General features: G+C 39.6%; 1 long non-coding RNA gene and 1 pseudogene across 1 annotated transcript; both read left to right on the forward strand.

The window, feature by feature from the left end:
- Positions 1 to 11,421, forward strand: LOC107986656 (uncharacterized). The gene is made up of 2 exons (XR_001744401.2): positions 1 to 4,775; positions 5,598 to 11,421. It is a non-coding gene; the product is annotated as an uncharacterized LOC107986656 (long non-coding RNA).
- On the forward strand, positions 11,297 to 11,931 carry C4orf46P4 (C4orf46 pseudogene 4; annotated as a pseudogene).

A 13,028-nucleotide genomic window follows, 5' to 3' on the forward strand; every position in this document is an offset into this window, starting at 1 on the left:
TACCACATGTTCTCACTTATAAGTAGAAGCTAAACAATGGCACACATAGACATAAAGATGGAAAAAATAGACACTGGAGGCTCCAAAAGAGGGGAGGATAAGAGGGTTGAAAAATTACCTATTGGTTGCTTGAAATTGCTTATAGGGGGAGGGTGTGCAACACAGAAATCAACAAACACTACAAATCAAAGATTTTCTTGTTTTGCTAGAGAGTTTCTTAACCAGCACACCACTGCGGGAAGTCCTTACTTCTGAGCCTTCCCAAAGCTCTGTAGCACACATCAACTGTTTCTTTCATATTCTCTTTCTGCAGATTGTTCGATTTCAGTTGTCCATATTCTGCTGTCAGTCACCAATTAATCTCCTTTCTTGATCCTAGAAAGACTTGTTGACATCTATCACCAATTGTCATCTCCTCTCCCACCAATCAGCCTATATTACTGATATGGTTTAGCTCTGTGTCCCAACCCAAATCTCACCATGAATTGCAATAATCCCCACGTCAAGGGCAGGACAAAGTGGAGATAATTGAGCCATGGGGTGGTTTCTCCCATGCTGTTCTCGTGATAGTGAGTTCTCATGAGATCTGATGGTTTTATAGGTGGCTTCCCCCTTCACTCAGCTCTCATTCTTCTTCCCACTGCCATGTGAAGAAGGACATGTTTGCTTCCCCTTCTACCATGATTGTAAGTTTCCTGAGGCCTCCCCAGCCACGCTAAACTGTGAGTCACTTAAACCCCTTGCCTTTATAAATTACCCAGTCTCAAGTGTGTCTTTATTAGCAGCATGAGAACAGATTAATACAATTACTTTTATATAGAAAAGAAAATGGTTATATTTCAATTTCAACAATTCTTTGAAAATAAAATAACATGAGAATGATTTATCATATAATTTACATGACATAAATATACATGCGATAGTGTTAATATACACAACTACACTTAAATCTTGGCTTTGCCATTTACTAGCTGTGTGAATTAGAGAAAGATACTTAACTTTTCTGGTGTTCAATTTTTTTCATTTGATAAATAGCAAGAACACTACCTATCTTGCATGGATACAGTTTGAAATGGAAATGTGTATAAAATGAAAATAATATACATCATGTGTATTAATGGCTCATACCAGATAGTCAGTATACAGTTGATATTATTAACATAAACATCAGTTATAATTTAAAATTATTTTGTATAAATATATCCTCTAAAAATTTTTTAAACTATCATGCCTCAAGTCAAATGATGCAAAAGGAGGTTAACGAACTATTAAAACATCGTTTTGCTGCTATTTCCTGGAGAAAATATGACTTAATTAGTCAGACTGAAATGGATTATTTTAAAGTGTAAGTAATTTGCAGGTATTAATAGCTAGCATTGCCCCTAGTATGGTCCAGATGGTCTTATCAGGTCTTATTGGGTTTCTTGTGCATTAAAAAACAGAGTTTAATGAGGCAATCGTACCCTAAAGCAGGTTTGCAATAAATTCAACAAATATACTGGCACCTCTCCAAGTGTGTAATAAACAACCTCCTCTGCTCCTTGCGGCAAAAGAAAATACTCTTGACTCCAGAGCATCACTTGCCTTCAGTGAACAGGGCTGTTGTAAAAATGCTTTAGAGAGCAAATGCCTTTAAAGAACTCAAAGACTTGGACATTATCATTTCCATTTGGTGACAGAAGGTCCAAAGAAGCATCTTTCCTCACCTATACGTATCACTGAGTTGTGAGAGGAAATGAAGAACAGACATCGGTGGGGAGACAGAAGGAAATGTTAGCAAGTGGAGGGGTTTTATGAAGTCAGGAGGTAAAGAGAGAAAGAGAGAGAGAGGAAAAAGGAGGAGGACAAGGAGGAGAAAAAATGAAGAAGAAGAAAGAAGGGAGAGAGGGAGGGTGGATAGAGAAATGCCCTCTCTTGGTTCTCAATGTCTCATCCACCTCCCTCATCCAAACCACAGACTAAAGCAGGCAAGGAAGTGGCTCCACCTTCTCCATTCCTTCAGAGGTCTGAAATATATCAATTATGTCCAGCAGGGTGATTATTTTTTAAACCTAACATAAGTAAGCCTTTCTGTTCTACTAGACTGTGCTCCTTAAGGGTGTAGAACATGGCTCATTCTTCTTTGCATCAACAATATTTAACACTTCTCAGATACATACTAGGCATCAATAAAAAAATTTTCTCATTAAAACATTTTAGGGCTTATATGCTCTATTTTTTTTCCCTGAGGTCCACTGCTTATACTGAACATGAAAAATTTAGCCTACATGTTAATAAAATCTTATATTTGGTCCTGGATCATAAAAAAAATAAGTTAAAAGCCCATTTTCTATAAGAAATTTGGGTCTTCTGCTGATGGACAGAGACGTTCTTCACTGAGACACACTTTGTGAATTCGGGAGTGGTAATCTCTACCCTCAGAGGGCAGTGGGGGTCAGTCATTGAACTCTTATTCTAAAAAATAAAAACATTAAATAAAGTTAAAATTAAGGATGCTTTATGGAATTTCAGGGTTTCGATGATGTGTAAAGCTAATGGCAACAGAGCAAAATTTACTCCTTTAAGGAGAGGAGAGCCTGAACATATTTTTTAAATAAGTAAATATCAAGTTAGAAAGGTTTGGAAAATAGTTGTTAAAATTATAACAAAGCTCTCTACTTTTCTTTTATCTTTTTCTGTTTTTGGATATTGGTCGACTAAATTAATTATGTAACAAAAATTCAAGTAGGGATTTAATTTGCCTCTGCTGGTAACTCCAGATCTCTAGGGTCTCATTTGCAGGAGTGCTCCTGAGGCACTAGGAGTGGATGCTAAAGAAGACTTTTTCAGACCAGAAGGGGAGAAAAGGGCTGCCCAGCATCCATGGGTAAGATAAGGTTGTCCCAGGTGGGGAAGATTTTGAAAACATCCTAAGGTGTTTTTACCTTAACATCTTTTGATAAGAGAATCAAGAGCATTTGATTCTCTTTTGATAAGAAAATCAAAAGATGTAAGCTATTGGGGATATTCAAGTGGGGTCAGGGAGAGTCACATGCCTTTCCTTCATCTTCTAGTACAGTCTTGGGTAAGGTGCTCTGAGGTCTTCAAGGCAGTGTTGTCATATTGAAGGAGCAGACTGCATGTTAGACACTGAAAAAGACCTCTGATTACTCTGAGGATGACACTGTCACCCACTCAGGGTCGAGCTGAGAAAACCTTGTCCATGAGTTGTGATGTAACTATGCTTCATCTTCAGAAGCCGTCGTGGTGGCTACAGCCAAACAGCAAGCCCAGAGGAGCAACAGGTAGGGACAAAGACACAAACAGAGGTAGCTATAAAAGCAACATCCACTGAATGAGGCCAACAAACACCAAGGCAGCAGGAAAATGATTACCAAGAAGAATGAGGTGCCATTTCATCAGAAGGAAGGAGAAAGGATTGGGGTGTCAGCACCCTAGTAACTGTACTGGGTGGGTATTAAGATGCAAAGGCCAGAGCATGATCAATAGTCTCATTAGCTGTTTACAATGCTAAAGTCACCAGGAGAAATAAAAGTTGAATGTCTATTTATTTAATGGCATTTGTTAAGCTCCTCATCAAATGATGTGCCCAGTATTGTGCTAGATTCTGAATATGAAACGGTGAGAGGAAAAAAATGTGCTTCCTGTCCTCCTTGAGCTAACAGTGTTGGGTCTAAATATTGCTTATAAACAGTACTGTTGGTTTTGTGGTAGTGGAGAACCCAAACACTTCTGTAGTTTTAAGACTTGTCCAATTATGTAATGGGCCACAGATCACACACAAGAGAATACTCAGAGACCTGTATGGCAGATTTCACATCCAACCTAAAGATTCACTGGCTTAACTTTGAGTACAGTCACTTGAATTACTTACTGTTACTTGAATTAGTTACTTGAATAGCTACTAAATAGGAACTGGTTTAAATAGTCATGACCTTGTGTAAACTGAAAACAGAAATTCATTAATACTCCCAATCTAATTGCATTTGGAAAATACTTGCAGAATCATGGAGTTGGAAAGTCATTATCTACTCAAAGAGACAATCCAGTCTCCTGCTTCTCTGTTTATTTATTCATTCATGTTGCAAATCCTGAGTGAGTGCCTACTGCATACCGGCAATGTAAGTACAAATCCCTCGCTCTAATGATACTTAAATTCTAGTGTTAAAGACAGACATAAGAAAACAAGAAAAAGTGAATAAATAATTTTCCAGTCGCGTTAAGTGCAATGAAGAAAAAAAAATAAGAAAGCAGGGTAGTGGTTAGGGAAAGGAAGGAAGGGAAAGAAGGAAAAAAATGCGGGATGGAGGAAGAGAAAGATGGGGCGGGCACTCTCTTACCCAGAGAGGGTCAGGAAGGCCTTCTCTTCGAGCAGATACCTGTGCATAATGAGGGTCTGAGCCACGCAAAGATCAGGGAGAAGAGCTTTCCAGGCAGAGAGAACAGGAGTGCAGGCCTGAAGCTAGACCAGGGCAGCCAAGGCAGAGTGAGGAGAAAATTGTGGGAAATGTTGCAGTCAGGGGCTAGATCTGCACAGACCACCCTCAGACATTTGCATTTCTCTCTGTGTGTGTGTGTGTGTGTGTGTGTGTGTGTGTGTGTGTTCTTTTTAAATGATGAGAAGCTGTTGGAGTGACAGGACTTCTTTTCAGCTGCCAAGCTTTTTGTGTTTGCACTTTTCCTTAACGCTTCTTCCAGATTAGGTTCTCCTTAAATTCTGTTTGCGGCTGGAAGTGATCCTAGACACCTCTGGCTCAGCTTCCCAACTCATGCAGGTAAGAATCTCGTTCAGAAGTGGTCATTAGACCTTCCAATGAGAGCACAAAAAATTGGAACTTCCAATGGGAGCACAAATGTTTATAATGATGGTGCGTCTAGGATGAGAATGAGAGAGCCCATTCTATGCGCGTCACTGTGAGCATGGAAAATCAGGGGTGACTGCCAGAGAGTAGTTTTCATGTATATCCATATTAGCAGGACTTCCTCCATGACCCTCCATCTCAATGAAGAGAGAACTTATTTTCATGTCCACATTGTGGATATACTAGTTCTTTCTCATCCTACACGTAGACATGTAGCTGGGAGTGTTGCAACAGGCCAGGTCAATGGAATGGAATAACAATAGTGTCTTAGTCAGCTCAGGCTGCTATAATAAAGTGCCATAGGCTGGGTGGACTATGAACAACAGAAACATTTCTTACAGTTCTGGAGGCTGGAAGTCCAAGATCAAGCTGCTAGCATGGTCAGGTTCTGGTGAGGGTCCTCTTCTGAGTGGCAGACTATTGACTTCTTGCTGTGTCTTCACATGGTGGAAAGAAAGCTAGCTAGCTCTCTGGCCTTTTCTTATAAGGGCACTAATCCCATTCATGAGGGCTCCACCCTCATGACCTAATCACCTTCCAATGGCTCGATCTTCAAATACTATCACATTGGGATTAGGGTTTCAACATAAAATTTTGAGGAGACACAAACGTTCAGTCCATTGCAAACAGCTGCTATCATAAAGTTCCTATCAAGTGCCAGTTGCTGTGTACTTAAATACGTCATCTCTAATTTTCAAAACCATCTCCTAAAATACCATCTTTTTTTTTTTATAGGAGAGGAACCTGAAGCTTAGATAGATTATGGAACTCGCTCGAGATCATACAAGAAGTGGCAATGCTGGGATTTGAGCCCACGATTGACAAAGCTTTTATTCTTTGCATTCTACCATGCTGCCTCCAAATAGGTCAAATGACTAGAAAAAGAGATTTAGGTTCATAATTGTCACTATGCATTTTTCCTACTATGGGAACAATTATGAACAATTCCATATGTGTCCAATTTTATAACAATAAAGCGCAAAAGAACATCTGTATCTTTCTGTTGTAGGGTAGCAGCCTTGAAATTTGTATCTTGGTTTATTGTATTAGATATTTCTTGAAATAAGCAGACCTTAATTGAAAAGTGGAAAATGTTTATCATATCTAATATGAATATTTTTAAATAAATAATTTTACTTAAGGAATTTCCTAGAACCTGAAATTGCTTTACTCTGTATAAATCTTATTTATACATCAGTGTACTGTGGGAAGTTAAAAAAATCTTATTTAAATACAGACATATAGCTAAACTGCAGAGAACAAAGCATTATTTCAGCGTTATTTATAAGTACTGGTACTTTTCTGTTGCTATTTTTCTAACAGAATCTGGCTCAGGACTGTCTCATTTTCATTTTCACCTCTCTGTCCTTGGTTTTGTTAATTCCATGTATTTTAACTTTGCACTTCTTGAAGCATAGCTGGCTCTCTCTCTCTCTCTCTCTCTCTCTCTCTGTGTGTCTTTCTCTGTCTCTCTCTCTCCCTCACACACATACACCTGTGTGCACATCTTCCACAGAAAAATTAACTCCATGGCAGATAGTTGTGCAGAATAGAATACATTTTGCCAGACCAACAAATCAGAGACAAGCCAACTCTCAGGCTCCAGATCCGGTGTCCCACTAACTCCTTTATTTAGCTCAATGCTGGAGTAACACACTTCAGATAAAGATTTTGCCCTGGTGGCTATAGACTATGAATCTGCTACACTAGTCTTCACAAACCAATAAGCACTAGGTAGCCGGACTAGAGCATTAAATGTTCAAGATATTGTCATTCAATCTCCATAATAAATAGATAACAAAGCCAAGGTCTTACTAAGGGGTTACTTGATAGTTAGGAGGTGAAATGAGACTAGATCCCAGGTCTTCTTACCTCTAGGAAAATTGTCTTCCTTCAAAACACCATGCTTTCCCCTGAATTTGAGATCACAAAAAACAAAAACAAAAACAAAAAAACTATGTCTTCTAGAAATACCAGAATTAGAACACATCTATATGAAAATCCTTGTCCTCTGATAGCAGTCACCTGTGATTTCCCGGGATAGAGCTCATTCCTCTTCCCCATCTTCCCAGGCCAGTGATAGTAACTTCTTTCCTTTGAAATGCTGCAATGCCTGTGAGCACTCACCTGTAGGGACTTCAGAATTCAGAACAAATCCTTGCTGAAATGGAAGGGCGGCAGAAAGAACATTGCCTCTTCCTGTGTAGAACTTTTATGGGATTTCTCCCAAGTGTGTAATATGTGTGTGGTGGTATTTTACGAAACTTTCATGAGAGTACTTCACTTCAGTTCTCCTCTGCCTTTTATGGTAATCCCGCTCCTATTATTTTTCTGTTAACTGAGATTTTATTTTTAAATATTAAATTGTGATTACGAAAAGAAGTTCTTTATTCCCAGAGCCACACTCATGTATATGTAACTTCTTCTGACTTATGTGGAAGCAACTCCCACGTTGGAGTTTCAGCCCTGGTCCCATAATTTGCAAGCATTAAATGGAAGCCTCATATTGCAATGCAAATTATAGTACCCAGGGACTGGCAGTATAATCACCCAGTTACAAAAAAAGGTAAAGAGGAGATGAAATTACCATAATGGGCCACAGAAAATACACAAGAGAATGTTCAGAGGCCTGCATGGCAGGTTTCATCACTATTCTAAAGATATGCTTGCTTTCCTCTGAAAATGTAAGGAAAGATGTTGTTGGCTCCACCTTGATGGAACTTGATCTTCAGCTGCTTTTACGATAGTGATGGACTGGGCTGAATTATTCATATCTTCTCATCCAAAGTGTGAAATGGCTAACCAGGATTTGGGATCGTTTTAGAAGCTGAACTGCAATGGACAAGTAGGTTGAAATATGGAAACATGGGGAGTGAGAGAGAACAGCATCTAGCAGGAGGAAGAGGATCATGCCAAGGTCTTGAGACAGGAAGCCCTGTTTGAAGAGAAGCACAGTCCAGCCAGGCTAGAGCTGGGGTGAGACATTTCTGGCACATAGTGATTTCAACTGAAGTCCAGCTTAGAGCCTGGGCCCTGGACCCCAGTGAATCAGCTCATCTGAAGGGAGAGCTCCCTCTGATACTTAAACATCCCTGGGCCAGGGTTCTAGAAAGCCTGCTCTAAGGGGAATGAAGGGAGACCTGAACTCTTCAATATCGATTCTTAGGATCTCTTCAATTAGCGGCAAATTACTATTTTCCTAGCCTGATACATAAAAGAATGCTGAACATAGGAGGTTCTTACTGAAATCATTTGGAAACTGACAAGAAAAAAAGTAGGACTTTAAGAAATATTTTCCCTAAGATTATGACCTCACCAATGCAAGTACTGGATGGTGTTATAAACAAATGTTTGAAAGATGACTTTAAAATGAAGATATAAGTAATTACATAGTGAGGCTTACAGTTTACAGCTGAAAAAACAGCTGTTCTATGGGTTCTTGTGACTTTTGAAAATATTTCCAGAGACACAATCACATCTGGACTCCAAAAATACAGTGTCTTAAACACCACAGAACTGACCACGATTTGCTCTAGAAAACAGTATTAATTCTACAGGAGGTTCCAGAGATGACAAAGCCCCTGCCGTCAAAATTACACATAAGGAATTTAAATGGAACTGTTTGATGAAATGTGAGTGATGATATTAAATTCTAAATTAGTATCTTATATTTTAAGCATGCATGTATAGCTAAATTAATAATTTAAATATAGCTAGGTAGACATTTGACTATCTATCAATTAAATTAGCTCCCCTCAAAAAATGTTGAGATTTATGGAGAGGATCTTCTAACTGGAAAAAAAAAAAAACACCACGGGGCTCTACTCTGAATGCCAGGTTCCCTTATATTTCGACATACGCAGTATTTTGAGAGTAAACCCTGCAGGACTTGATAGGTAGGTAGGATGTTGAGTGAGGGAGGAGGATAAGTCAGGTAAGTAGGTGGTGGTGTTACCAACTGAACTAGCCAATGGTAGAGACACAGTTTCACAGGTGGTAGGGTGGGCAAAGGGATATTAAAAGCTCACTGCTGGCAAGTAGTTGAAAGAGAGTTAGTGTTGGTTTGGCTGCTCTGGTTGGCTCTGCCATCCCAACCCTTCCCCATGGCTGACCCTGAGGAGTTGCAAGTTTCTTTACCACCCCTGCTGCCTTCCTTTTCTCCCTTAACTTCAGACTTCTCTTCGGCATCTTCCCTGAGCGCTCCCGTGAATTTGAGCTGGCCAGTTCCAAGCAGGGACAGCAGCCAAATGGTGGATCCACTGGAGGAACAGCAGCTGCAGATTGGAGATGCATTCTCATTAACCACACTTTTTTGTTTTCAACTTTCCTTTTAGGTTCAAGGGGTCCATGTTCAGGTTTGTTTGATAAATTGCATGTTGTGGGCATTTGAGTCACTCAGATAATTTTGTCACCCAGGTAATCAGCCTAATACCTGATAGGTGGTTTTTCAGTCCTCACTCTCCTCTCACCCACCTTCACCCTTAAATAGGCCCCAGATCTATTGTTCCCTTCTTTATGTCCATGTGTACTCAATATTTTGTTCCCACTTCTAAGTAAGAACATGTGGTATGTGGTTTTCTGTTTCTGCTTTAATTCACTTAGGATTATAGACTTAGGATAATGGCAGCCAGCTGCATCCATGTTTCTGCAAAGGCCATGATTTCATTCCTTTTTATGGCTGTGTGGTATTCCATGGTATATATGTACCACATTTTTTTTATCGAGTCCACCATTGATAGGCATCTAAGTTGATTACGTGTCTTTCCTATTGAGAAGAGCACTATGAACGAAACTTCTTGAAGCCCCATTTGCAGTATCAGCTCAAGTGGAAGAGTTTGCCTTCGGCTTGTCTACAGAAAATGCACGTTTCCTGAAAACGTGGTGGGAACTCTTGAAAGAGGGCTATGATTCTTCCTCAAAACCTGACAGCTGATTTGGCATGCTTCATTGTTTAATAACGACGGTGCAATAATTCATACTTCCTCATATATGATATTTGCACACGTGCAAAATGTATAGGATGATCTCTTTCCAGCATTTTTATGTATAATCAGAATGAATTTTTTCTTGGTTTTCTTGACTTTTGAGAAAGCAGAATTCTGATGCTGTTTTTGAAGCTGACTAGTACTTGTTTATCCTTAAATACATTCTGCCCTCTAAGCTTTTATAGAATCCTTTATGAGAGTTAATTTAATCAGTAGATAGTTAATATTAATAGTGCCATGGTGCTATAAGCAACAAACTAGGTACACTATTATTTGTTTTGTAACAAGATGCCAAGCATGCCAGAGTTTGAAGTAGAGTTTAATCTTATGGACCAAGGGAGATAACTTTAAGATTGCCAATGGTAGATCCACCTCTATTAGGCTAAGTTCTCTAGAACCAATGACTGTGTCTTATTTACTTCTCTGTCCTCAGCATCTGAAACAGTGTCACACAACACTCACTAAATGTATGTTGAATAAAAAAGTTGACAAACATAATTAAATGCTATTTTTTTTCCTATACTTAGCATGAAGACTATAATTGTTTCTCTAAAAAAATGTATAAATCAGAACTTCATTGACTTGAAGGAAAATATTCTCTTTTTTATGGAAACTTGAACTTTGATGGTAGCTTTAAAAAATATATGATAAATATTTTTTGCCCTTATATAATTTTTTTAAAGTCTTTACTTCAGAAAATAAAAGACTGTCTAGAAGGAAATCTTTTTTTTTTTTTTTTTTTGAGACAGAGCCTCACTCTGTCTCACCAGGCTGGAGTGGTGCAATGGCATGATCTCGGCTCACTGCAACCTCCGCCTCTTGGGTTCAAGCGATTCTCCTGCCTCAGCCTCCCAAGTAGCTGGGACTACAGGTGCGTGCCACCATGCCCAGCTAATTGTTGTATTTGTAGTAGAGACGAGGTTTCACCATTTTGGCCAGGATGATCCTGATCTCTTGACCTGGTGATCCACCTGCCTCGGCCTCCCAAAGTGCTGGGATTACAGGCATAAGCCACCGCGCCAGGCCAGGAATGCATATTTGATATGGTTTGGATCTGTGTCCCACCCAAATAGCATGGTCAATTGTAACCCCCAATGTTGGAAGTGGGGCCTAGTAGGAGGTGACTGGATCATGGGGGTGGAGTTTTCATGAATGGCTTAGCACCATCCCCCCATGGTACTCTATAGTGAGTGGGTTCTCACAAGATCTGGTTGTTTAAAAGTTTGTGGCACCTCTCCTATCTCTCTCTTCCTTCTACTCTGGTCATGTGAAGACGCTTGCTTCCCCTTTGCTTTCCACCATGATTGAAACTTTCCTGAGGCCCCCCCACCGAAGCCAAGCAGCCTCATGCTTCCTGTACTGCCTGCAGAACCATGAGCCAATGAAACCTCTTTTCTTTATAAGTTACCCAGTCTCAGATATTTCTTTATAGCAATATGAGAACAGGTTAATACAATATTTTTCCCTGTTTAGTTCTATGGTTACCGCTTTTAATATTTTTTATATTTGGTATTTTTATATGTTTGATTGCTGTCTTTAAAGTGCCTTATTAAAATCATTGCTCTGTGCTATTACTTTTGGAGTTTTGCAAGTTGTTTATGTAATTATTCTGAAGAAGTGACTTTGTTTTCAATGCATCTAATTTAAAGGATGTGATTGTCTTTCCATTATCTGACCTTAGTGACAATGTTCTATTTTGCTTGTCCTATATCTCATGTTGCTTTTTAGTGGTCTGTGTTATGCATCAGCAATTAAGCCAATTAATTCTCTACCAAATATAACTTCTGGATATCTTTGATATAGCATCTTAATTCTTTGTAGATATGGAGATGTGTACAGAAGTATATCCTAAAGCCCCACAATGGGGCTATGAAAAAGGACAGATGGACGGGCAAATAGTCTTGTTCAGCATATGAGGTCATAGTTCTTGATTAATTTTTTTAGTTAGAGATCACACATATAGTATGATTTCTATATCAAAGGTATGCTTATTTCAAAAAATATTTTTCTTACATGCCCTGAAAATTATAATTTTTTAAATGTGCAAAAATAAATTCTTATGAAAAGGAAATTTTAAATTCCCTGTTGGCCATGTTGAGTTTGAGATGCCTTTGGGGACACACAGAAGATTTTTGGATATAAAACTGCCTAAGGAAATAAGGAAGTTTATTTTCATTGGAACTATAGAAGGCAAGCAACAGCAGAAGACTGGAATAAGGGAGAAGTATAGAAACTGTGGGCATGGTCATCCAAGAGAGGTTAGATGACTGTAGGGTTTTATGTTTAAGGATGTTGACTAAAGTACCCGGAATATGTGGCACAGTAGAATCACATGGCTTCAGGATTTCTAATAGTGCCAATCTTAAGGGCTTCACTGATGAATGAGCTGACTCTACTATAGTCAAGACCTCGTGCAGCAAGTGCAGGGCACAAGGTAAGCACTGTGGTCTGTAGATTCAGACAGGGTGAGGCCTGAGGGGGTCAGAGGCCCTCTCTGTAGGGAATGAGGCCTGCTCAGGCACCAGGTTTCTCAGCTCTCCAACCTGAAGTCTGAAAAAAGAAGTGGATGGCATGGGCATGCACACATACACACACACAAATTACAGAAAAAGTTTAATTATTGTGCACTGCACATTTGCATCCCCATAAAATTCATATGTCAAAGCCCTAATCCCCAGTATGATGATACTAGGAGGTGGGGCCTGTGGGAGTGATTAGGTTAGGATGTGTCAAGAGGGTGGAGCCCCCATGATGATATTAGTGCTCCTGTAAGAGGAAGGGACACCTGAGCCTCCTCTTTCTGCTATATAAGAACACAGCAGAAGATGCTGAAGGTGATCATCTGCAAGACAGGAAAGGGGTCCTCACCGCATCTGCTGGCACCTTGACCTTGGACTCCTCAGCCTCCAGAACTGTGATAAATCAATTTCTGCTCCTTAAACCACCTAGTCTGTGGTATTTTGTAATGGCAGCTTGAGCAGACTAAGATAATCACGCTTCAAAGGATTTGTTTGGCTAGAGGGATTTTCCCTCTGCCCTTTCAGTGTGTTGGGCATCTCAGTTGCTGAAGAATGAGGCAAGGTACTTGATACTGATGGGAATAAATGATGGTTCACACCCCACAGTCAGCTTTCTACTTCACCATCTGTGAGAGGACAATGAGATCAGCCCCACTCTACCC

This window comes from Homo sapiens, chromosome 6 (genome assembly GCF_000001405.40).
Source record: "Homo sapiens chromosome 6, GRCh38.p14 Primary Assembly".
Classification (NCBI taxonomy): Eukaryota; Metazoa; Chordata; class Mammalia; order Primates; family Hominidae; genus Homo; species Homo sapiens.